Below are 27,695 nucleotides of genomic sequence, written 5' to 3' on the forward strand. Positions count from 1 at the left end.
TTACCATTTTACAGATGAGGAATCCCATGCTCAGACAGATTTGATAGAAATGCTCAGGGTCTCACAGCTGGTTGAGTGGCAAAGTTGGAATTCAAATCTAAGTTTGTCTGTCTCTAAAGCTAGTGTTCTCTCCTCTGCACCCAACTTCCCCCTAGATGAGAGATGACATGGGATGGAGGTGGAGTCAGTGGTAAATAGCAGCAAACGATATAAAATACATTTCAGAGGTGGAACTGATAGGAACCGTTGACTGACAGCCCTGGAAAATGAGGAGTTACCTACCTATTCACTTATTCATTTTCCAGGCATGAATCCGAGATTTTGTGGGGGGTGATGTTCTGTCACTGACCTATTTGGTTTTTTTCCAAGTCGGATTCAATATTGTATTTGTCTTGTTCTTTTCAAAGCTCAGTTTGTTTTCTCACTTTGAATGCCAAATGTGGTTCAAAGACCCTTGCAGTGGAAGTCTCCAAAGACTTCCTACCTCCCTCTGTTTTCATTAGGGTATCTCTCTTTCCTTTGCCACATCAAACACCTACCCTTTGGAGTTTGAAACAAAATCTATTGACAATATTCTTGTAAAGCTGGAAAACTGGTTATATTGCTCCCTGCTATCATTAGCGTGAAATCGTCTTTTGCTTGGACCAGAGGTCTGGTATAGAATGGTATTAAAAAATCTCTATTGCTCTTCAGAGCTTGCATGGAAGATGGTTTAATTGTGCTGTAACATGGAGATATAAAATTCTGGTCATTTTTCAGTGAAGAGCTCAATGAAACATCCAGAGGAAGAGTTTGAAAATCAAATTAACCTTCCATGACAGGTGTATTTGTGTTTCGAAACTCAACCTCCATACGTGATAATATCTTATTTTTATCTAGCAGTTCACAGATTTAAAAATAATTCCATATTTATTATGACATTTTACCCTCTTAATAACTCTAAGAAGCAGGCAAAATAAGAATATTATCTCCAGATACAGAAGAAGAAATAGGTTCAAGCAGTTAGGCGACTTGGCCATGGACTCTGTGGTATAAAGCCAATACAGGCAGGGCAGAAATATAATTCAGAAGCAAAATGCTTCTTCCTATTACAAACTCTGTGTAGATAATTTCATGAACTTCTAGAAAATTAACTCAACTCCTTTAGCACAGTCAAGTCCGGGGAGCCAGGCTTATGATTCCAGTTCTTATGAATGTCAGAGATGAGATAGTTGAGAAGTTGTAGGACACACTCATGGTGCAGCTGATTAAAAATACGAGCTCTTGCAATACTATGCAGCCATAAAAAAGAATGAAGTCATGTCCTTTGTAGGGACATGGATGGAGCTGGAAACCATCATTCTCAGCAAACTAACACAGGAACAGAAAACCAAACACTGCATGTTCTCACTCATAAGTGGGAGTTGAACAGTGAGAACACATGGACACAGAGAGGGCAACATCATACACCAGGGCGTGTTGGGGGGTGGGGGGGAAGGGGAGGGAGAACATTAGGACAAATACCTAATGTATGCAGGGCTTAAAACCTAGATGACGGGTTGATGGGTGCAGGAACCCACCATGGCACATATATACCCATGTAACAAACCTGTATGTTCTGCACATGTATCCCAGAACTTAACAAAAAAAGAGCTCTGCCATTATTTTCCCAAAATAGCATAGGTAAACCCACTCTAATTTTTTACATATGAGTAAATTGACCCCAAGAGTGAACTGCAGTGAACTGAAGAAGATGCCCATCAAATACACCAGAAGACCCTCTGCTTCTGACCCCACCTGTATTGCTGGGTTTCAGTGTCATTCACTCCACTCCTCTCCTCGGTGTCTTTCTCCTTGACCCCCTGTGTATTTCTCAATCTCCCTCTCTCTTATAAAATTCCATATAATTTTTCTCATAAGTGGAAATTATAATTTATAAAATTCATTATTAATTATTCCAGGTAAGAATGATTAATATTGCTGTTAAAATCAAAACTTTACAGGCATTAAAACTGTACCCAATAAAACTTATTAACTAAAAATTAGTGAAAATATAAAATATTCTTGAGAAAATTTAGTTAGGAAAAAACTGACTCAAAAAAACTGTACTTTGCAGAAATAATGGCCATAAGAGAAAAACTCATGATGACCAAAGCTATAATCATTTTTTAAGATATCAATGACAAAAATGAATACTGATATAAAATTTAAACGAAAAGAATTGATCCTGGTGAAAATAATTTTAGTAAAATAAAAATGGTAAGGGAAAAATATTAAAAACCATTAAATGCACTCTATAGAAAATTAATCAGGAAATTAAACTGGCCTAGAGGTTTTCACTCCAGAAAATACTTTGTTGAACCAAATAATTCAATGTTGGCATAATTCTGACTGAAATATTTATATTAAGAATTGTTCGGACATGCGCGGTGGCTCACTCCTGTAATCTCAGCATTTTGCGAGGCCAAGGAGGGCAGATTACCTGAGGTCAGGAGTTCAAGACCAGCATGGCCAACATGGCGAAACTCCGTCTCTACTAAAAGTAGAAAAATTAGCCAGGTGTGGTGGCGGGCACCTGTAATCCCAGCTACTCAGGAGGCTGAGGCAGGAGAATTGCTTGAACCGGGGAGGCGGAGGTTGCAGTGAGCCGAGATCACGCCATTGCACTCCAGCCTGGGTGACAAGAGCGAGACTGTGTCTCGACACTAAAAATCCTTTACCAAAGACTTCAGATATCTGAAAGTCTAAAAATTATTTCCTTAGCCAGGAAAATCTCTTCCTTGGACTGGAGTTTTCATCTCTTTCAGATGAAGATGTTGAGATAGATTATTTTTCCCTTATTTAATCAGATGATTAGCCAGATGTAGTTTATTGTGTTTCTATAATTATATGATGAGGTAGATAAGTATTAAATTCTTTAACAATTTTTAAAACTAACTTCCAAGTCATTGTAAATGGAAAGAGATCATGAAAGTCAGTCAGAAATAAACACAGGCAACATGTCATTTTTGGTCACATAATATGAAGACTTAGACAATTACTCATATAAATGACAGAGTTAAAGCAATGAAAACACTTTGTCACTCTGATAAATAACAAAAAAATTGATTTACTGTATAAACCAAGACAAAAATCTTCATTTTTCATTTTTGAAATTCTGCAAGATAGAATATGAGAGACACCCTTGAATCTATATGAATAATTGAGTCTGAGGTTTAAGTCCTCAAAATCTGATTTTTTTATGTCTTATGTTACTGGCCAGACAGAATATTTCAATATTGAAGTAGACACTTCATTCAGAGCAATCATAAGATAATAAAGCACATTATGGCAATATAAAAACAATCAACCAATGTAAAATTGAGTCAAGTAAATAATCAATAGGTTTATGAATTTATTTTGTCAAAATTTGTTTTCTCTAATTTTGTTATGTATATCTGATCTCACTTAAAACTTCAAACATTGTTTAAAATATTCCTGTTTGAAGGCATTTTCACTAATTACAATTTCCTGTTAAGGTGATTTTATGACCTACGGGTTGAACTTAAGATGCATCCTGACAGCCCATAGCAAAATATGCAGGGCACTCATTCAAAAGCCACTGTTGTGCAGCAAACCATCTGGCTAGAGAAGCCAACAAGATCTACTATGAAAGGATGGTGATCTTGGTTCAGATAGCTACTGGCTAGTCCTCCCATTCCCAGGCTAGAGGAACTATAGGTCCTCAAAAAGAAGTTAACATGCAGATGTGATCATTTTTGCTCATTTATCTATGTATATATTTGATTACATAAAACAAAGCATTCCAACAAAAACTTGGATTTCATTCAGAATCATTTGTCTCAGAGATCATCGAGGTTGTGTTCCTTGGCATATATAAATTATTACAGTCTTCAATTAATAACAATAATGTATATTAACATTTACTGACACACTCGCTGTTCTAAGCGCATACGTATTTAACCTGTACTAAAACCTTATGGGGTAGGTGCCATTATTATCTCCACTTTACAGATGAGGAATCTAGGGTTCAGAGAGGTCCTATAACTTGCTTAAAGTCACCTAGGAAATGTCAGATCTAGGATTTGAATATAAGTAGTGTGGTTCTAAAGCCTATGGAGTTCAGCCTCCCCAGAATAGTGTGGGTTTTGGGAAGAAAATGATTGCATACAGAAATTTAAATTTATTTTCTACAGCAACCAATTGAGAGCTTTAGACATACATTTTCTCTTTAATGTGGAAGGCAACTCCTTTGCAACTGTAAATCTAAAGGCCATAATTTCTTTGGCAAAATTATACTGTGTCCTAATATGGATTTTATTTTCTCATCTTAAAGTTTCCCTTTCTTTTTTGACTACAATAGCCATTTAGAATTCAGTGTACCTTAAGAATTCTAGGTTAATGTCCTTATCTTGTTTTTTTTCACCCCGTGTGTGGGTCACAGCTGCCTTATCTCTTTAACCTAACCACGGTGCTGTTATTTTTTCCATTTGCATTTTGGGAAGATCAAGTGAGAGGAGTGATGGAATAACACCAATATACTCAGTTATGTTTTCTTCATCCCTAACCTATCTCAACCCTTCTCAATTCTGGTAAGACTGTGAAAGTGACCATGTTCAGAAAGGCAATTGCGTAGTTTAAACCGCTGTGTTTAAATGAAAAGGTGAGAAGGAAGCTTAAATTTAAAATAACTTTGATTTCTGTTAACTTTCACTGGAAAACTATGCACTTGATCCCTAAAAATAAAATGGAATCGACTTTTGTTCGTTTATTTAATGGATATTTAAGAAGAGCCTGCTATCAGCCAGGCACTGTGCTAGGTGCGTGCAAGGGACACGAAGTGAAATAAGGCATGACAGACTGTCCTCAAGGAGGTCACAGGACAGCCAGGAGATTCGGACAGGAAGACAAACATGAGAATTAAAAATGCACAGGTGCCGTGATAGTAGGTTCAGTGAGGATGTGAAAGAGAAAGAATAAATTCTCCTTGGTGGTGGTCAGGAAAAGTTTCCTCAAAGGTACAATGCTTTGGTTAACTCTCAAAAGAAAAGTTTCAAGGCAGCCAGCCCAAGAACGGGGTAGAGGTAAGGGCATTCCAGGAAGAAGGTACAGAGGGACAAATATCTAGACCCAAAACCACAGGTCCCGTTCAGGGTTCTACAAGGCATTCAGATCATGTTCAGTGTTGTGAGGAAGAGGGAAGAGCTGGACAGGTAACCAAGCCCTGGAGGCCACACTTAAACAAGTTTGTACTTTCTGACGGGAGTGGGAAGCAATTTGGGATTTTAAGCAAGAGAGTGGAGAGTGCTAATATCAGATTTGTGTTTATGAATTATCACTCTGGTTGTAACTTGAACAGTAGAGGAAAAGACAGCCAGGTGGCTGATTAGGAGACTGTTTCGTTAGAGTGAAAGACGTTGAGCGTATACTAAGTCAATTGAGAGAGCTACAGTTGGCCTACCTGGCACCTTTATGGGATTTAGAAAAAGGCACCTCCCTCCTCACCTTGGACTGAGAAGTCCCATTGGCTTGAAGATGACCCTTACCTGCCTCAGCCAGGCTCCTTTGTGTGAGTACAAACTGCTTAGCACATGCAGCATGTCATGACCTTGGCAGATGGTGTGGGGGTGAAGAGGAATAAGGTTCACCTGACAGAACTGAATAGAATGTGGGAGATGCAGAAACGATGAGTCTAGAATGACTCCCAGATTTCTAATTTGGGTGAATGACAGTACTATTTACAAAGAAAGAAAATTTGATTACAAAAATTGATTTGAAAGAACAGAGAACTATGTCAAAATGAATGCTTTCAATGTACATGTGCTGGAAAAATCAAAACATATTTGTCTATCCAGAGAGGTCGCTTGATGATCAGCAGTGCCTAATTTTACTAGGATGTAGCTTTCTCTGTGCCCTGTACAGTTGCCCTGTGGCTCCAGAGAGTCTATCTGAGGCCTGCACCCCATCCCCTACTCCTTCAAACCTAGAGTTGCTTCTCTTTTCCCAGTCTCAGTGATGGGAATGTGGGGGACAAGTCCTCTCAGAGAGCCAAGTGCACATTCTGCTTTCCTGAGAGCTGACCTGGAATACTATGAGTAGAGTTTGGGGCTTACAAGCTCTGGGGCAAGATAGCATTTTTGTTTTGTTTTGTTTTTTGTTCCCCTGCCTCAGCCTCCTGAGTAGTTGGGATTACAGGCATGTGCCACCATGCCCAACTAATTTTTTTTGTATTTTTAGTAGAGACGGGGCTTCACCACGTTGGCCAGGCTGGTCTTGAACTCCTGACCTCAAGTGATCCGCCTGCCTCGGCCTCCCAAAATGCTGGGATTACTGGCATGAGCCACCACGCCTGGCCACAAGATGGCATTCTGAGGCTTTCCCTTGCATCCAACTGGGAAAGAGGAGAGGACCTATTCCTCTTCTGACAGAGCATAACCATATCAGAAATTACCAAGGAAATGATCAACCATATGAGGGCTGGGGACATGGACGATTTCTTTCAGGACCTCCAGGACTAGACACAGTGCCACGTAGAAGAGGAATCATTTATTATTGGTTGATAGAAGACTCCTGTCAATGTGATATCTTCCTTCAGATAGTATATCAGAAAGCCTAGGCTAGGCCATGCTGTGGTCACAAATAACCCCAAAACCTTAATAAATTAGAGCAACACAGGCTTGTTTCTCATGCATGGAACATGTCCCTTGCAAGTTGGTTGAGGCTCTCCCTTACCTCATCATTGTCCTCACTCCTGGATTCAGGCTAATGGAACAGCCACCATCTGGAACAGCCGCCATCTAGATCTGCATTGTCCAATATGGTGGTCCCTAGCCACATGTAGCCATTTACATTTTAATTAAAATTCAATAAAATTAAAAATTTAATTTTTCAGTTATCCTAGCCATATTGCAAGCGCTCAATGCCACATGTAGCCAATGGGTACTCTACTGGAAAATATAGATGGGGAATATTTCCACCATTACAGAAAGTTCTACTCAACATGCTGAGTTAGAGCATTGATGCTTTTGGGTTCTTGTACCAGCAATTAAATGTCATGTGGTCCCATCCAACCACTAGGGTCTAAAAAATACAATTCTTTCCTGTGCTCTGAAAACAGAGAGCTAGAGATATCTGGTAAGCAACATTAACAACTACCTGTTGAGGTAGAGAGAAAGAGACCCCAGAGTATGGTGCTTTGGCATGTTGAGTGTTTTGAATTTAAAGACCTCAGAAATAAGCCTTAGAACCAAGGTCTCTTTCTGATCTTTCCCTGCCTCCCTGTCTCTCCGATCCCCTTTCTTTCTGCAAGCAACCAGAAGGAGCTTTTTCTGAAGTTTCCTTATCTGATTAAGCAAAGTTTTCCCAGGAGAAATGCAATTGTCTTAAAACTCCCTCCCTAACAATCTCATTAAATAACCAGGAAAGATTGACCACCAGACAAAGGAAGAAACTTACAGTCTTCATCACACTCAGATAGACTTTTCATCTCTTCTTTTGTGGGCAGTTCTGAGAGACTACCTGGGAGATTTTATCTGCATAATAAAACAATCTTTGTTCACAGTCAAGTTCCAGCCCTGACCTTCCCACCATCTTCCCCAGAGCTCAGAGCTTTGTCCCAGATGATTATTCTTTAGGCTCACTCATTTCTCCTGAAAACCATTTACTACCCCCCCTAGGAAGAGGGTATATAAGCTTCAACCACCAGGCCTTTGAGTCTCATATTTTATACAGCTCCCGTGCTTATGAACAATAAATTTTCTATGCATTTTCTTCCCATTGATCTGTCTACTTTCAGTTCATTTCAATGAACATTTAGCGGGCAGAGGGGAAACTTGACCTTCATCCCTACATACCCATTCATGACTTCAAGAGTTCACCCTTCCCCTTACCTTTATTATAATCCAGGGTGTGAACAGGGAGAAAATAACTCATAATTTGGACATGTGAAAAACAGAAAAAAAAATTTAGTGTTTTGCTCCAAGATATCACAAAAAGTTGTGAACTCAGAATGTTCACTGGGCTCAACATCTGCATTATGCATCCTATCTTATCTTCAAAATGACCCTGTGTAGGTATGCTGTACTTTCCACCTTAAATATGGGGAAACTGAGGCTCAGAGTGGTTAAGTGACTTGACCAACAGAGGTCTACCTGATCTCAAAGCACTGGAGATGCTCTATATGGAGAAGGAAAATACTATTTCCCAGGTTTTTTAAGTTTTACTCTTCAGTTCCATGTTATCACTCAAATTCTAACTTCTAATTTTACAGAAAGGCCTTAAAGAAGCTGGGTAGGTATATTTGGCTTAGTTACAAAACTATTCATTTAAAAGCCTTTGTAGGCATGAACAACGATGAACACAGACAAGAAATGAGTCTATTTCATATGCTGAACTGTTTAGAAAACATATGTATGTACACATTTATGTTTATGAAACTGATCTGGGTGATTAAGCTCCTTGGAAACCCTGAAAATCTACGGAAGAAAATTTGTGCAAAGTGTTCAACTATGATGAAGAGACTATTAAGTATGTGGCATTCGTCTTGCTCTTTTGTTTTCTTGAAGTAGTCCTTCTACCAACTTTCCATCTTCTTAGATGCAAAACGAAACAAAACTTAGACTGTCAGTGCACAGTTCTTGCTCATTTGTTAGCACTGGAGCAGAAACATTGTTTTCCGTATAGAGTTGGGGAAACTGTGGCCCTGGCAGCAAGTCCTCCAGCCCTCTGAGTGCTGGCCATAAGCCTTTGACCTGCAACCCTTGTTTCATGAGTCCTGCTTGAGATGGGAGTGTGGGGGCCTGCTCCTGGTGGGCTGTTGATTGCATCCCGGAAGCCACATGGCCTAGGCCGTTTTCCCCTTTGATTGGCCAAATAAATCACATCATCTCACCTCAGTACTCTTCCTCTCTTTCCCTTTGCAGCATTCCTTGGCAGGGTAAACAGCACCATTTCAGCAATTTTAAAGGTGACTTCCAATAAAATATGTATGTAGATTTACTTCGGGGCTGGTAGCCTGGGCTGTAAATTTATACCAAGTCAACCATGGAAAGCCCTTCAATTAAAAAAGAAGAAAGAAAATACAAAAAAATAAAGTTTCCATCAGCATTTATCTTTGGATTTTAAAAAGTGAATGTATTTCTTTTCTCCTCTTTTTTAATGGAAAAGAAAAAAAGAAAACATCCATGAAGAGCAACTGACTGAAGCACTTCAACAGCCTGGTTCATAAACCTCTCTGGTAATGCCTGGAAATAAAGAGAAATCTTCAGTGTCACCAAAGATTGCTTCTCACCAACCCTGTGCTTTCAGCTGCAGACGTGCATGCCTGACAGCCTGTACCTCTGGAGTGCAACTGGAGCCATTGCCATTGGTTCCCCCTTGCTTATGAAAACAGAGGGATTAACAGACACTGAAAGAGAAACCCCACTGAGCCACCAGCATCAGTGGGCTTAAACGCTTTTTCCTACTGCCAGCCAGAATCCTTTCAAACCTCAGCACCCATCTCTTTTGAGGAAAACTGTCTTAACATCCCTGTAAATGGATAACCTTTGGCTTCTGCCAAACAAAGGCTGCAGATTGTTTCTATTTATTTGCCAAGAATTTATTGGAGTCCATAAAACAAATTTCTGTAGCTGGGGAAACTGTACACTTTTTGTTTGTTGTTATTGTTTTTAATCTAGGCTGCAATCCAAAAGTTTGCAGCATGAGTGAACTGTTGTGGTTTGCTTTCTAGTTTTATTTGGCCTAGAAAAAGAAAACAAATGGCAGTGCTTCGTGTAACATCATATATTAGAGGTTTCTAGTGCTTGGTATTTGCCTTATCATTTTCAAAACAGAATCTTAGAAAGGGGGAATGCTAAAACATGAAGTCCATGGTATATAAAGCAGTTCTTTACCAAGTAGTAAAAGCATTAATAAAATCAAATTTACCTTCATAACAACAGTGTACCTAGGTGAGTAGAAAATACATTTATCTCATTTTATGGATAGGTATACTGACTCAGTCTAGGACCCATCCCATTCTAAGGTCATTCACTGTAGAAACACAGAATCAGCTGGAGATAGACCAGTGCCTCTGTCACTGTCCCAGAGTTCTTACCCTCTGTGCTTGCTCCCTGCCTTGCAGAATATAAGAGATTCATTTAATTTTGAAGCATAACACTTCATGTGAAGGGCCCTATAAAAAAATGTGTGACAAGGCCCTACTAATTTTGTAATACTAAAATGTATCTCTGATGCCACTGAGTGTTGCATATTTATTAGAGCTTTTGTTCTGGTCCAAAATGGAAAATGGGAAACAGGATAAGAAAAATGGCACTAAGAACTCCATGATAGGCCATGCATACTTCTGTGGAATGGCATGTTCCTTTGAAGATTTGATTCATCTGGAAGCTATGACATGCATAAAGCCCAATTTCAACTGGATAAAGAAATAGACAATGGCATTCATCCGAGTTTTGTGGTGACTGGAAAGAAGTTTGGTAAAGTAACATAGCAACCATGTCCCTTCTTTCTTTTCATGCCCAGACTCTTCAAGTGAACTGACCCTATAATTCTTGGGAAATAATACACTTTGCAGAACATTGTAAGAAGGCACCATTGGAGGCAGACCAGATGCTGTGGACTGGGTCCCACTCAGTTCTGTCCTCACACCTGGTGCAGTGCTGGGCACATTCTGTGTGATCATGGGCATGTGGTGCCTGTGTTTGGCTTGTTGGGTGTAGAGATCAGTTGACCATGTCAGAAAAACTAACAGAACCATGGAGGATCATGAGCAAAGCCTTTTCTTTTCCTTGAATATAGCTTCAGGCTTTTTTTAAAAATTGTTTTAATTATTCTTCTCATGGCATCCCTTAAACTACCTAATCATGGAATTAGCCTGACAGTCGGATTGTAGCTCTAAGTTTGTATTTTCTGGTATTTGCACAAATATGTTAAGCATCTAAAAATATAACATTTCAACATGCCTTTTATAAGTAAGCAAATGCCCAGCACCTTTCTGACATCCCGACTGAGTCATCTATTACTCACTATGATGGGAAGGAAATCAGCGGCAGGCTATGTGATGAGAAACACTGTTGATGTGGTACCATATCACTGTCAGGTGTGCTCCCGTGTTCACCTAAAACCCTGCAGGTTCCTGGGATGCAGAAAGCTGGGAAGAATAGTAAGTTGATGAGTGGACAGGAATCTGCAAGACTTGTACATGTTTCAAAGAAGCACCAACTCTGTATATGCCAAGTATACTGTAAGTACCATAATGGGAGGAAATTCAACAATTTCAAGCTAACATTAAAGACCGCTTCTTTTTCTGAATACTTAGCTGAAGAAACTCAGGGCTTCTGAAGGACAGACAAGTTCTTCATAGCCACTAACAGTTTTTAATCTTTGCAATTCTGATATAACTCAAATATCTCCAACTCTTTATCTCACAGTATTCATTTGCATCTCCAGTGCCTACAGTAAAGCCAACTTGGAGTGAAACCATTGTGTTCCCCAATGAGGCTGCTAATCCTTTCATTTTCTAATAATATAACAACTATATATGCTTCTTTTTTTAAAGGCAGCTGAAGCAGAATGGGTGTGCATGTGTGTGTGGTTTTTTTGTTGTTGTTGTTTTTGTTCTTTGTTTTTTTTTTGAGACAGAGTTTCAGTCTTGTCACCCAGGTTGGAGTACAATGGTATGATCTCGTCCCACTGCAATCTCCGCCTCCTGGCTTCAAGTGTTTCTCCTGCCTCAGCCTCCCTAGTAGCTTGGATTACAGGTGCCCATCATCATGCCTGGCTAATTTTTGTATTGTTAGTAGAGACGGGGTTTCACCAGGTTGGCCAGGCTGATCTCAAACTTCTGACCTTAGGTGATCTGCCTGCCTCGGCCTCCCAAAGTGCTGGGATTACAGGCGTGAGCCACTGTGCTCAGCCCTGCATGTATGTTTTAATAAGGCATCTGTCTCCAAGCCACAAGGCCCCTGGCAAAACCTCTAACCCTTTCCCTTCAACACAGCGGCATCCCTTTTTATCACAGAAGTGAAGGTGTAAATAGTTCCAGAGATTCACAAGGCAATTCCAAAGCAGCTCTGTTTTCAGTCAGGCTTCCCAGAACCTACTTTGCTTCAGGCTTGAACCTAGCAAGCTGACATCATGTTTCCTAAGCAGGCAAGGTGCCACCAGAACACACAGGCAGGGGCACAGCTGACCAGAAACGAATGGGGCCATGTGAGGTGCAAGTCCAAGACAGCAATGTCAACACATCTGACTGCCAGGAATAGTTACACTCTGGGTTAAAGGGCTCTTCCAATTTCAACTAAGATAATTATATAAACAAATAGCATCTGTAGGCATAAAAGATACATGATCTGAAAAGAAATGCTATTTGTTTCTGATGAATTTTCCCAGAAGCTGAACATAGCTTTATTTCATGGAGTAATATACTAGGTTTACAGTATCACTAGAGTTCTTTTTATCTCAAGATCGTAAGGACCTTTGCAATTTCATTAATCCTTACAAGTGAATGCTCAAAAATATTGGCCTCTATACAAATGTTCCCCTTAATAATACAAATTACAATAATCTTTTGTAAAGAAATAATTTACAGCCGGGCATGGTGGCTCACACCTGTAATCCCAGCACTTTGGGAGGCCGAGGCGGGTGGATCACGAGGTCAGGAGATCGAGCCCATCCTGGCTCACACAGTGAAACCCCGTCTCTACTAAAAATACAAAAAAATTAGCCGGGCATGATGGTGGGCCCAGTAGTCCTAGCTACTAGGCAGGCAGAGGCAGGAGAATGGCATAAACCCGGGAGGCGGAGCTTGCAGTGAGCAGAGATTGTGCCACTGCACTCCAGCCTGGGAGACAGAGTAAGACTCTGTCTCAAAAAAATAAAAAGAAAATAATTTACATGGAGGAAACATATGTGCATAGATAGGTGTGCATACACAAATATATATATTCAAAAATGTTTGTTGTAGTGTCATCTGCAGGATTGGCAACAGACTGAATACCTTCCATTAGAAAAACATTGATTGAACCATAGTTAATTCTCTTAAATGAATGATCCTCAGGCAACAGAAATAGACTTACAAGCTTAATAGACTTGAAAATGCTCATCAAGTAGGCATAAGTGTTTTAAAAAGTAAACTGCAAAATTGTATTTATACTATAGATATAATTGTGGAAAAAATAAATGTATATAGACAAGACCTGAAAGGAAATATTTTTAAAGTGGGGAGAAAATTTTTCATAGGAATGGGAAACTTGAGAAGTATATACCTCTTCTGTGTGTTTAAAGTTGTTATAATGTTGTTTGAATAACAAGAAAAGTAATAAACAGTTTTACTTGGGAGGCTGAGGGAGGCGGATCACCTGAGGTTAGGAGTTCGAGACCAGCTTGGTCAACATGGTGAAACCACGTCTCTACTAAAAACACAAAAATTAGCCGGGCATGGTGGCGCATGCCTGTAATCCCAGCTACCAAGGAGGCTGAGGCAAGAGAATTGCTTGAACCTGGGAGGCAGAGGTTGCAGTGAGCTGAGATCGTGCCACTGCACTCCAACCTGGGTGACAGAGTGAGACTCCATCTCTAAATAAATAAATAAACAAAGAGTTTTCCACTTTACATGGAAACTGCTTCTTACATTACCTTTAGTAGGAAAAGTAAATGTTCAGGTGCAGGCTGTAGGGTACTTGTATAAAATTTGGAAGATTTTGGGTAAAAGAATCCTGCAGAGAGAATGTAGTGTACCCCATAAAACCCTAGGATCACATTTAAGCTCTGCCTTAATTTAAAAAGAATCTCTATTTTGCCCATACCCCACGTTTTCTTTCTCTCACAAAAGTAGACAACTTGGGAATGCTAAGTCCATGATAAAAGGTGTTCCCTACTCCCACTGCCTTCCACCTGAGTCTAAGCCTCTTGATTATAGGAGGGACAAGATTCTCCTACAAGGCAGAAATCTGATGTTTCCAAGTTAATGTATAACTAGTCAATCAAAGAACAAATTGTTACTATTTCATATGGCAAAGGTATCTTGTGAAATATGTATAGTGCAAAATTAAAAAAATATATAATGGTTACTCTTTATTGGCCCAGGAATTGTGCTAAGCATTAGCACAATTAGATATGCATTATCACATTTGATCCTCACAGCAACCCTCTAAAATATGTTCCATTAATAGTTCCATATTCCAGATCAAGAACATGAGATTTGAAAATAAATTCACTGTTAAATGGAATCAAAGTAACCTGTGACGCCAAGACCATACTTTAATAGACCTGTACTCTCCAGCTTTCCAAGTACTCATCCAGGTACTTCTAACATTTTTACATTAAAGTCTATCAGGCTTCCTCTGGACAACTCAGTGATTGCCTTTAACGGGCAAAGGTATAATATTCTCCCAGCATGGAGGTGATCTGTGTCCAGGACAGACAAATCCTAGAGGTGGAGAAATGCAGGGTAATTAGGGAGAAACCATGCAGAGAACAAGAAGCTAGAAGATGGAATAATAACTGGGCCTAGAGGTGTGTGTTTTACCCAAAATTCATGGATTATCGACTCACCCACTTAACGAGTGACACCTAAGGCCGTGGAGATTGGGGGTGGAAGGCAGATAGGCATCTACTTGGCTGGAGATTGAAAGGGCAGCTACAAATAATAGCTAAATTTGGGCTAAGGAAGCAATCTTGAGCTAAGCTAATAAGAACCACCATGACCCAGAGATCCAGGGCCCCAAGGAAGAACTAGAAGAGCCTTCCAACGAAAAGGTTGTGAGTCACAGCACCTGAGGGACTTGTTTGGGATTTTTGGCTTTGGCAATCTCCCTGGATAGCCTGAGCCTAAACTTGTAGCTTCCCTTGTGTGCAAGGTTTATACCCTCTAAAACCCTCACACTGAGATGAAAGTTTGCAATGCACTTGAACCAGCATTATATATTGAATTTTGGAATAAAAGGAGCCACTACAGGAAAGGAAGAGGCAGTTAGAGAAAACAAGAACATGAGAACAGTGGTCTTTTGAGGAAAAGCAACAAACAACAGACTTAAGACAACTCAATCACCTTTGCCTTGGGTCTGTGGAACCAGGGGTCTGTGCAGCGCAGTGTGCTGATAAAACCTTGGCCCTTGGAGCTAGAGAAACCAGGTCCACCTCCTAAATCTCCCACTTCCTAACCCTATGGCCTCACTTTGAATCTCTGAATCTGCATTTCCTCATCTGTAAAATAATACCAATCACACCTGCCTCCTAGGGGTTTTGGGAGGCATAAATGGCATAAAGCTTGTGAAACAGCCCACACATAATAAGTGTTCAGCTACTTAAGTCCTGTTTCTCTCTTTTGGTCTGAGAGTCACCCTTATTAACCAGGAAGCTTATGGGGACCAGTTCGAATAGCATTACATTTCAAATACGTACCTCAAGAGCCCAAAGTAACAGCATTGTTCTGTCCTCTTTCTCAAAGAATATTAAAATGATTAAAATACTAAATCTTTTTTCTCTTCTCTTTATTTCCCTCCTACCTAATGTTGCACTAAATTTTTCTAGCGAGTTTGCTTCACGTTAGTAGTTTGCAATCAGCCGTAGTTGGAATTCTTACACCATGGAACTGGGCAAAGGCTACAAATGGGCTCTTTTTTGTTTCCAGAAAGCTGGTTTGTCTGCACACCACTGTTCCAACCCACAGCTTCTCCAAAGCCTTTCTCCTTAACTCCCAACTTATCCCCACCCACCTGCCTCTAGAGTAAACTCATCCTTCACACTCAAGCTTCACGGCTTCCCTCCCTTCTGTATTACCCTCCCTATGTCTCAGCAAGTTAATACGTAGATCAACTGTGCTTCTCCCTACATGTAGAGGACAGAGAAGAACCCAGCTAGCAAATACAGGGCTGTCTGGTGGAATAGGAAAAAGATGCTGTTAAACCAATACTGGGTCAACAGCAGCTTTCCCCTCAGGAGGATTTGACATGAACAGCGATGGTAGTTGCTCTATACTAAACTTGTGGCACCTTCTAAAACTAAGACTGAAGGCTTCCCCACTCTAGAGTGCAGCTTATATAGATAGATAGATAGATAGATAGATAGATAGATAGATAGATAGATAGATATATCTAGATATATATATATATCTAGATATATCTATCTATCTAGATAGATAGATAGATAGATAGATAGATATATCTAGATATATATATATCTAGATATATCTATCTATCTATATAGATAGATAGATAGATAGATAGATAGATAGATAGATAGATAGATAGATTTTTTTTTACCTTAACCAAAGAACAAAAGAAAAGGAAGCAAGTTATTTACTTTGGGAATGAGGGCTTGTGGAGTCTATCTTCCTTCACCTCAGGGGCTATATCACTTACAGCCACTGTCTCAGATGGTACCTGGAGTCCTTCCTGCCCATGTTTCTTGAAGGATCTAATCAGACATGATGTCACCAGTTTCTATACTAGTGGCTCTCTATCAGTGGTCCAACAAGGGTCGTCTGGGGCATGAATGACCCATTATATTATATAATGTGATAGTAAACTCAAGAGGTTAAAAAATTTATCCACCAAACAAAGCTTAGCAAACATAACAGTTTGCCTGGTGTAGATAGTAGTTTGCTTTTTCACATTCAGGCCAGACTAACAAGACCATTCAGTTGTGAGAAGTATCCTTCTCATGTGAGGATTCTACAGGCTGTTGTGTGGTTTGTTGTCCCCTGATGCAGTCCCTGAAGAAGCTGGTCTCCTAGATTGCATTCCTGTCCTCCCTTTTGTACATGCATTGGGATTGGCAAGTGTCCTAGACAAAACAGTATTATATTGCCAGTCAGCTGCCATTTGACTGAGGCTTTTAAGTTCTGGGATACAAGTGCAGAATGTGCAGGTTTTTTACATAGCTATACATGTGCCATGGTGGTTTGCTGCAGCTATCAACCCATCATCTAGGTTTTAAACCCCACGTGCATTAGGTATTTGTTCTAATGCTCTCCCTCCCTTTGCCCCCACCCCGACGGGCCCCGGTGTGTGTTGTTCCACTCCCTGTGTCCATGTGTTCTCATTGTTCAACTCCCACTTATGCATGAGAACATGCACTGTTTGGTTTTCTGTTCCTGTGTTAGTTTGCTGAGAATGATGGTTTTCAGCTTCATCCATGTCCCCGCAAAGACTGTGGCATTTTTGTAATTATTAGTGAAATTATAGACCATGGACTTCTCCACGCCACTATGGTAGCAGAGAATCTTCTAAGTTATCCGTAAAAGATTTATTTAAATATTTTATTTTCTCTCAAACTGCATGGTGAGGCAAATATATTTTATCCACAGGAATGGCCCCAGGCAGAGAAAAGACAGGAAAACAACATTTACTTGGCACTGGCTGTCTGCCAGACACTATTCTCAGCAAATTACCTCATTTAATCCTCACCCTATGAGGGAAGTACTATTATAATTCCCATTTTACAGATACACAAATGAAGAATCAAAGATGTAAAATAATTGCCCAAGAGCTAGAAATTGGTTAGAAACTGGTTGAGCCAGGATTTGCACCTAAGTCTATCTGGCATATTCTTCCCAGTAAGTTGTGCTATGTTGCTTATCTGGGAGTTCATCGCCTAGTGAGATGGCCTAGCCAGGTTGAGCCTATGATGAAGAAAAATATTCATCTGAAGAACAACTTGATAGGCTGAATCAAATTATTTTTAAAATCTACTGGAGGGTTTCTGAGGCTGCCAGGACTTGGAGGCCAAGATCCCGAAGAGAAGAGAAATTTATTGAGGCAATGTCAATATTGTGTGCTTTGCAATGCTTGTAAAAGTGTTTGCTGACTCTTACGTGGTTTTGGACGGAAGGCAGCTGCTGAAAGGTAGATAAAACCCATAGAGCTTTCCATAACCTCATTTGGCTGGAGGAAAGGGTTGGGCTTACTAAAGCAGTCAGAACTTTGGGAACCAAGATCCTAAGAAATAAATTAATGCAGAAAAGTGAACCCATCATTTTAACCAAGTTTTCATCTCAGGACATTTGCTAATTCTTAAGTTTTGAAGAGCAAGAGGCTAAGAAGCCAAAGTAACTGAGGAGTGGAGTTTTTAGCAGTCTTGTAGAGCTGTGAGATCAAAGTTGGAGTTCAAGGCTCACCAAAGAGGAGAAGACCTCTAAGCACTCAGGGACTTACACTAGAGACCTACACTCAAGAAATGTAGGTGAACAGAAGAAGAAACAACTTACAAAGCTTGGAACGAGCTGTGAGGGTTAGGGTCGAATTGTGGAGGTTTGCTCCTGTCTGACAGAATATATTTGGGAAAATAGTTAACATCATCCAGAGCATCTTCAATACTTCATGCACAGTGTCTGACATTCATCTAAAGTTACCATGCATGCCAAGAACTAGGACCAAGAGAAGAAGAAAAACAGAAAATGGAAGCTGACGTACAAGTGATGCAGATATTGGATTTTTCAGACATACTTTAAAATAACTATGATTATTAGGTTCAAGAAAATGCAAAACAAGATATAGAATTTCACCAAAGACCTGGAATCTGTAAGAAAGAATTACACAAACATTCTAGAAATGGAAAAAAATACAAGAATTGAAAGTAAAAGATGTATGAGAACCCAAAGGTATACCTGTTTATTTAAACCCAGAATTTAGGAAAAGCCAACAATACATGTAGACACATAGCTATTAACAGGCATTTTCTATGTGTAAAACAAGGTCAATAAAACAATATAAAAAATAACAAAACACAAAATGACCTTTATAGCATGGCCATAAAATCTGAAATATTAAAGATATCAAAGCAGCACCTGATTATGTTTTAAAGATTTTTTATGTGTAAAAATTTACTAAAAATACAACATAAAATCATAAAAACATACAGTTGGTGGAGAATAGACAAAGCCCACTCTTTAAGAAAAATTGTCTCTATAAAATACACAAAAGATGAGGTAAAAAAAGTGAATCTTCCTTTATTTAGACATTATCCTAAAAATAATAGATGATAAACTCAAAAGAGTACATTCTATCAATTATACATGCTGAAAATACGGTAATGATAATGCATAATATATTCTGTATCTGTAACTCATCAAGTTACTTGAAGTTAAACAAAAACACACACACACACACACACAACTTGATTACATTATTCTCTTAAGAAGACATTGAGACCCCAGGAGGTCCAGGCTGCAGTGACCTGTGATCAAGCCACTGCACTCCACTCTGGGTAACAGAAAGAGACCCTGTCTAAAAAAAGAAAAAAGAAAAAGAAAAACAAAAACAAAACACTGAATTTTCTTTTTCTGGCTAAGTCTTCTCCATTTGCTTATTTCAGAAATTTGCTTTTCCAAAGATGAGTTCACCCTGTCCCATTTTGGTACAAAACCTTTCATTTTATCTTTGAGCTTCTGAATTAACACTTTATTCCTACCAAATCTTATTGTTCAGGGATCAGGCAGTTAGTTTAAAGGATGAATCATGCCTATCAACAGGCCTGGCAGTTGCAGTCAACAGCAAATTGTGATTTCCAGAATGAAAGTGACTTGTTGCAGGACAACACTTACCAGCATGTGACCTGGGGCAAGTCACAGCCTCCCTGAGCCTCTGCATCTGTAAAGTGGGCTCAATTCCACCTCCTTCACAAGGCTGTTGTAGAGATTAAACAAAATAGACCATGTGAAAGCCCTGGGCCTCATTTATGTTTATAAACAAATCCTGTATTTTTAAAAACAAATTTCCACATTTCCTTCACTCAACACACATTTATTAAATATCTGCTGTGTTCCAGAATCCTTGACAGGCACTGAGAATACAAAGACCAATAAGGCATGCACTCTGCAGTCAAGGACCTCACAGCCCAGGAGGGAGGACAGACAAGTAAATAAAGTATTGCAAGACACTATTATAAGTGGCGGAACAAAGCAGGAACTTATCAACTCTGTTCTAAAAGTCAGGGAAGGCTGGGATTATGAGGGGTAAGAAGGAAATAAGGCAGATGAAGGAAATTGGAAAGACAGTGGCAGCCAAAGAGAATGTACAAAGCCCCAGAAGCATGAAAGAGCATTACACATTTATGAAACTGTAAAGTTTCAATTTCCCCTTTACTAAAATATGAGATGCACATTGGGAATACATAAAATGAAGCAGAGACATAATCTTGATCACTGACCTTCAGGGGCTCAATCTGATGAAAGAAAAACACACATATGATTAATCTCAATGGTTATGCGGAAAATTAAGAAAAAATTCCACACTGTATGACCTCATCTACAGAATTTTTTTTAAAACTATGTAAAAAAGTGACTAGAAACAAAAGAGAAACAATCCAATTTTTAAATGGGCAAAGATGTTTATAGCAGCACAATTCACAATAGCAAAACTATGGAACCAGCCCAAATGCCCATCAACCAACGAGTATATGTGGATAAAGAAAATGTGGTATATATATATACACCATGGAATACTACTCAGCCATAAAAAGGAACTAAATAATGGCATTTGCAGCAACCTGGATGGAATTGGAGACCCTTATTCTAAATGAAGTAACTCAGGAATGGAAAACCAAACATCATACGTTCTCACTCGTAAGTGGAGCTAAGCTATGAGGACACAAACATTCTCGCTCATAAGTGGAGCTAAGCTATGAGGACACAAAGGTATAAGAATGATACATTGGACTTTGGGGACTACAGGAAAAGGGAGGGAGGTGAGGGATAAAAGACTACAAATTAGGTACGGTGTACACTGCTTGGGCGATGGGTGCACCAAAATCTCAGAAATCGCCACTAAAGAACTTATTCATGTAACCAAACACCACCTGTTCCCCAAAAGCCTATTGAAATAAAAGAAATTGGATAAAATCTTAAAAAATAATAGTGTTAAAATTAGATGTGGTATTCAAACCTCCTGATTTGGGTAGTGGTGCATTTTCACCCAAAGTTGAATTACAAGGAAAGTACCAAAAAAAAAGTTAAAACGTGGGCAAAGAATTTGAAAAGATATCTATCCAAAGAAAACATACAAAGGAGAAATAAGTACATGAAAAGGTGCTGAACATCATTAGTAATTAGGGAAATGCAAATAAAAACCACAGTAAGATACTACTTAACACATGCTAGGATGGCTATTACTAAAACTTAAAAAAAAAAACCCAGAAAATAACAAGTGTTGGCAACAATATGGAGATATCAAAACCCTCATGCATTGCAGCTGGGAATGTAAAATGGTGTGACTACTGTGGAAAACAGTTTGATGGTTTCTCAAAAATTTAAACATAGAATTACTATATGGACCCATAATTCCATTTCTAAGTATATACTCAAAAGAATTTAAAACAGGAACTCTAACAGACACTTGAAGACCAATGTTCATAGTGGCATGAGTCACAATAGCCAAAAGGTAGAAACAAGTGTTGACCAGCCAATGAACAAAGTAAATACATACAATAAAATATTATTCAAGGATAAAAAGGAATTAAGTTATGACACACGCTACCCTGTCAATAAACTTTGAAAATATTATGCTAAGTGAAATAAGGCAGAAACAAAAGGCCAACATTGTATGGTTCCACTAATAGGAGCTATTTTGTGTAGGCAAATCGACAGAGACAGAAATTAGAATAGAGGTTACCAGGGGCTGGAGGGAATGGGGAATAGGGAGTTATCGCTTAATAGTTACAGAATTTCTGGTTGAGATAATGAAACACTCTAGATAGTTGTGATGGTTATACAAGATTATGAATGTATTTCGTGCCACTGAATTTTACACTTAAACATGGTTAAAATAGTAAATTTTATATTTTACCACAAAAAAATTTTTTTAATAAGCAGTGGAAAAAAATGGAACATCTCTAAATATTAACAATGGTTTCTCTGTGTGATATGCACCCCCCACCTCATCTCTTACTTTCTCCACTTATTTGTATTCTTTTTTCCTTAATGAATATGTATTCTATGTTTTTAAAAACTCTAAATTTTACTTTTCAAAAAGAAAGAAAACAAAAAAAAATATGGTAAGATTTTTTAAATCTATGTTTTAGCTATGTATGAAGTCCCTTGGGAATGGAGAGGCCATCATCTAGATTGTACTAGGGCTGGCAACAACCTTGCAACCAGCTCGTTTGAGGACTAGAAAAATGTGGCTATGTGTCGTCTTGCCCTAGAAAACCTCTTGGAGGAGATGTAGCCTGAATCCGGATTATTGTGAGCCTTCTGCAAAGCTTTAGCTCTGCGCTGCAGCCCCATGTAGGCCAAGACGTCTACAGGCGCCAACTTCAAAGAGACACTTCTCCCTTGGAATGCAGCTGCCCAGCTGGCCTGAAGGACTCTGCAGAGATTAGAAGAGTCAGATAACAACTTTCCACTGAATAGGAGGTGGGATGCAAACATCAGCTAGTTTCTTCCTGGGACTCCCTCTCCCTCAGGGCGAGGCCTTTGGCTGTGTAGGACCAAACATCAGGCACCAAGGCTTTTCCCATTTTGGGGAAAGGAGGGAAGCTAATTTTGTTGTATTAGCAACTGGCTTCTGGACCTTGCTCTCCTTCCCTTTGTCAGAGAGAAAGCACAAATGATATTGTAGCCATGTATCTCAAACTTGGAACAAATAGTTTTAGAACTGGGCCCTGCCATGGAATTGGATCATCAAGCAAAGACCTAGAGCACTGCTAGTTTGCTCAGGGTTTTGTCTTGAGCTGGTCTGACTGAAGGGCAACTGAACTGCCAGGGGAGGACGGACTATGATGAGCTCCCAGGAAATCTGTCCCTGATGTTGATGATACTCAGGATATTTCAAAAGAAGATAGGTTTAAACCACAAGGTGGGGAGATGTGGACCCCTAGCTTGAAAGCTCCTTAACTGTTAAGGGGCACATGTGGGAGACTTCTAAATAAGGTGCTGAAGATGAAAGTTGCCTTTTCTTCTAGGGTTGTATCAGAAGGTTGACTCTAGATTTAGTTCAGTTATAGCCCCAGGGAATAAGCACCAACAGTGAAAACCTTCTCCTAGGTCTGAGAAAACTTATGGCCACACCCTTGAAAACTCAGACCACACCCTGAAATTCCACACCTTGGAATTTCATTCTTTTGCTTTTAAACTCTGCAGTCTCATAATTTCAGAATTGAACTAAGGGTTGGGACACAGATTTTTAACACAAAATCTTCATTTTCCCTGTGTTTTTCTCCTTTGAGATATCACACTTTCTACTGCAGGTATCTATATACATATAATAAACCTTGAATTTATTCTGTAAGGAAGCTCATCCCACAAGGGACAACAGAAAAGCCAGAGGGTGACATGTATTAAAGATGTAATATGTAAAAATGTGGCAGACCTGAAAAGCACACGTCTCCAAATTGAAAGGTACCACCAATGCCCGGCACAATAAATGGAGGTGGGAGAGAGAGAAAGGGCCCCACCCACAGGGCACACCATCTCAGTGAAATTGCAGAACATTGGGAGTAAAGAAAAAGTCCTAACAGCTTTCAGAGAAGAAAAGTAAATCACATACAAAATTCAAAAATTAAAATGACATCAGACTCTTCAATAGCAACACTGGAAGCATGAAAAGAATGGAGTAGTTCCCTGGGAATTCAGAGGGAAGTAATTTTAATATGAAATTTTCTACCAGACGTATCAAAACTCAAGTGCACAAGCAAGAAGAAATATATTTTTCCATATATATGGCTCAAGAAATATATATCCTATACACTCTTAATTAGGAAGTACATTGAGAATTCATTTTTAGCAAAACAAGAAAATAAACCAAAAAAAGAGTTTCCACTAAAGAAAGGTTAGAACAATCAGATATCTGATGTGATGAAATATTTGGAAAATATTAGTGATAGGCATTAGAGGGTTTTTTGAAATATTTGGAGTGGGGAAAATACATACATGGACCTACGCATAACAGTAAAAAAAGCAATAATTAACTCAAAAAAACCTGTAATCTTAGAACACTAGTCAACTTAGTAGTAATATTTAGCGACAAAAACAAAGACTGACTATAGATTTAACCAAAGATTGTGACATATGAAGGGATGGGATATGGGGAAGTTTGGAGGATTTGTTTTTCAAGGATTTTAGGGGGTAAATTAGAGAGCTTAGTAACAGAAAATAAAGAGATTATGTTTAAAATGTGTTACATAAGCAATAGTAATATTAAGATGCTAGTTAGAAATGCAGAGAGAGTGTATATTTTAAAAGAAAAAGTCATTAAGAGTTGCAATGGATTGCCTCTGGGAGGTAGAAATGAAGAATGGAAGAGGGTTAGTTTACTTTTAGTAATGTTTCATACCGTAAAAATAAGAAAAAAAGAAATAAACTATGTAAGTGTATTACTTTGGTTAACAAATATTTATTTTTAAACCAGTGTATCAGATTTCATCAAAATCTGTAAGAATTCAAGTTTTTCCAGCCAGAATAAACAAATAGGAAATGCTGAACAGTTAGAGGCCCACCTCTCAGTTTAGTCGTTGGTTTCACAAAGGCAAAGAAACCAAATTTATCTTCCTTTTGTTATGACTTCCACACTGATTTTGACAAATTTCCCTTAGTGCCTGTGCTCCACTGCAAATTACTTATTTTTCTGAGTCACTCTTGTCTAGACCACAAAAGCAGCCCCTGCACTGTGTGTGGCTGATGGGAATTGCAGGTTGTTCTCAGATTTGTTTGTACAGCACTTCTTCCCTTGCCCAAAGTATACATTATATGTGAATGAGGCTCGTCACAGCTCTGCATAATTACCGCATTTGGAGCCATTCTTCTCTTCAGAAGTTTTCCCCCCCTTTTCCTTTTGATTTCTTATATTTTGCAGCAACTGTCATCATTATTTTGATGCCATGGCTTAATAGCGCCTTCAAATGCAAATTTGACAACACAAGCTGAAAATCATGGGTGGCAAACAAAGCAACTAAACTTCCATGCCTGTGTTTTTTGAGAGCTCCACCTGATCTGTAAATGCACACGTTTTAGTAGCCAGCCCTGCTTACAACCTTCGTCTTTGTATTATAAGAAGAACCAGAATTTTCTGAAGATATTCTGCAAATCTAGGCTGTAAAATGGAGTTTCAATTCCTCTTACTCTGCTTTTTACAATTCTAACTTTGCAGATAGTTGAAATCCATCTGGAGGCTGTTTCCCAATGAACCTGTTCTCTTTGTATCATTTATCTATGAGTGATAAGTCAAATATTTCACAACCACAACTGCCCAGGCATTAGCCAAGCAAGCAGAGGAGCAGTCGGGCAGGAGCTCCTAGCCAGCACAAGCCTTCTACTTTTAGTTGCTGGACCATGGGAGAGGTGGTAGGGATGGGGGGTCTCTAGTCAGGGACTCGAGGGGCAACGATGGTGCTTGGGAGGCCAGAAGAGTAGCTGTACCTAATTGACATGGAAGTATTTTAGTGTTTTGACCACCCATAGAGCAGTATCTATGCATAGTGAAATACCATTCCTGTGGGATTCCCATCCTGCCTGTAATATAATTATAATATAGCTTCTTCTTCCTTCTGGTTTGTAAGTTTCTTGAGGGGATATTGAGACTCAGGTTCTTCTGTGTGACACCATGTTTCCTCTGGATGAGTATATGAATGAGAAAATGAATGATGAATGACAAATTATTTCTCCTCCTTTGTGAGTCTAGCTTCCTTACTCTCATTTGAAAACATTTAAATGTTTCAGCTTACTCTCATTTCAACATTTCAGCTTACTCTCATTTGAAAGCTTTTCATTTGAAAACATACCGAAACTTAGGTAAAGAAGGACATTTCATAATCACAAATGCAGTTCTTTGTGAGGACAAGAGATTTAGAAATAAACATTCAGGAATCAAACTATGCTCTTTTCTTGATAAAAGTTATCATTGTCTTAATAGATATTTGGGAGAAAGAGGAAAGTATACGCCTTGTACTTTGTTAGTTTTGTAGGCAGGTGTGGAATGCAATGGAAAAGATCTCATGCTAACCATTTTTCTTTTGAAAAAAAATGGAGATTTTATTGGCAGTGTTTTAATTTTGCAATATTTTATTATTTTATTTTATTATTTTGGAGACAGAGTCCTGCTCTGCTGCCCAGGCTGGAGTGCAGTGGCACAATCTCAGCTCACTGCAGCCTTTGCCTTTTGGGTTCAAGTGATTCTCCTGCCTAGCCCCCAGAGTAGCTGGGACAACAGGCATGTGCCACCATGCCCGGCTAATTTTTGTAGTTTTAGTAGAGACGGGGTTTCACCATGTTGGCCAGGCTGGTCTTGAACTCCTGGCCTGAAGTGATCCACCTGCCTCGGCCTCCCAAAGTGCTGGGATTACAGGCATGAGCCACCGCACCCAGCCTAATTTTGCAATATTTTACATTTAAATTAATACAAGAGAATCAAACCATAAGCACCACACTGGTAACTCTGTTTTCTCTGCTGAAGCTAATTGAAGAACAGAGAGGGAGAGAAATCCATAAATTGTAAGGAAGAAATTAGACTTTTTTAAAAAATCAATTTCAGGACCTAAAAGTTATCAAGCTATAAGGATAAGGAATTGTAAAGGAATGTGATTTTTATCTAGGTCATAAAATTTACCGCTGTTTTCCTTTCTTAATTTAAATGTAGAAGTGATAGGCATCTACAATGTGCCAACCCAGCAGGATCTGAAACATGAATTCATCATAGGTTAAAACATTTATTTTTCATCCAGAGGGAAATTGGCATGAAATAAATTTATCAAGGGACTACACGTTTAAAGCATGCATTGCATGACTGCCTAGGACAAAAAGAGAATTCTAGTATATTAAAGTAATAATTCCTCTTGAACTATAGCTATTAATGTAAGATGATAGAAATAGACCAAAATAAACAATTTTCAAAGAAGAGACTGAGGCCAAAGTATCATCTTGCCTCTCCAATACTTTATTAGTTGTAGTTTGTAGTTTTAGCTACTCATGTTCTCAAAACAATTACCTAGAATTTTCTCAGCTCAATCTGAAACTGAGGGGAGTTAACTTATTGATATTACACTACTGATATGAATCAAATGAAGGCTGTTTCTTTCCAAGCAACTGACTGGTTTATTTAATGTAAGAACAGTTGATCATTTGAAGTAAATAGCAAATCACTGTAACTAGTATCCATTAGATTTCAGGATATTTTTCATTGTTCTTTAATAAGATTCTGAAAATAATTTGTGTTTCTCTAATAACATGCTTCAGGAGCTACCATGTGCTAGACTATCACCACACTGAAAATGTAGACATAAAAAACAATCTGTCATTTTGGAACTCAAGACTTACTGTGGGGAACAGACAATTCCACAGATAATTTCAGCAAAACCTGAGAAATTTCATAACAAAAGAAACCCCGGCCCCAGCCACACACACACACACACACACACACACACACACACACACACACACACACACCTGACTCTTCTCTCTGCTAAGGGTGGGAGATAGGAGTAACCAAGAGAAAGTCTCTTAAGCAACCCCTGAGCTTGCTAAGAAAGTTTGTAAGGAAATAGAGACATTAGCCAGGCAGGAAGGACATGCCAGAAAGAGGGAATGAAAACTCGGGAAATGCATGTGGAATTGCAAAAGCATAAACTCAGACTGGAATTCCTTAGAGAAAATCTAGTGTTTAAATTAATGAGACACACAGAGGCCCAAAATCTCCTTCTAGAAAAGTCATACAGAGTGAAATAATTAACATTTTCCTTTTGAGAGTTATCATTGCATTATATTCTTTGTTGCTTTCAATAAAACA

The 27,695-nt window shown here is 39.0% G+C and overlaps 2 protein-coding genes across 7 annotated transcripts in view, besides 1 other annotated feature; both read left to right on the top strand.

The window, feature by feature from the left end:
• The window catches only part of IQCJ-SCHIP1 (IQCJ-SCHIP1 readthrough), an 828,041-nt gene that overhangs the window by 540,749 nt on the left and 259,597 nt on the right, over nt 1-27,695 (top strand). The gene's annotated exons all lie outside the window — the stretch shown is intronic.
• Nucleotides 1-27,695, top strand: part of SCHIP1 (schwannomin interacting protein 1) — a 624,116-nt gene that overhangs the window by 336,824 nt on the left and 259,597 nt on the right. The window lies entirely within an intron of this gene.
• Nucleotides 22,015-22,525: an enhancer, noted in NCBI's record as "NANOG hESC enhancer chr3:159349871-159350381 (GRCh37/hg19 assembly coordinates)". NCBI's record gives its function as "activates a minimal SCP1, AML or CMV promoter by ChIP-STARR-seq in primed H9 embryonic stem cells {active_cell/tissue: H9 hESC(primed)}" and the evidence as "EXISTENCE:reporter gene assay evidence [ECO:0000049][PMID:30033119]".

This window comes from Homo sapiens, chromosome 3, assembly GCF_000001405.40.
Source record: "Homo sapiens chromosome 3, GRCh38.p14 Primary Assembly".
Taxonomy (NCBI): domain Eukaryota; kingdom Metazoa; phylum Chordata; class Mammalia; order Primates; family Hominidae; genus Homo; species Homo sapiens.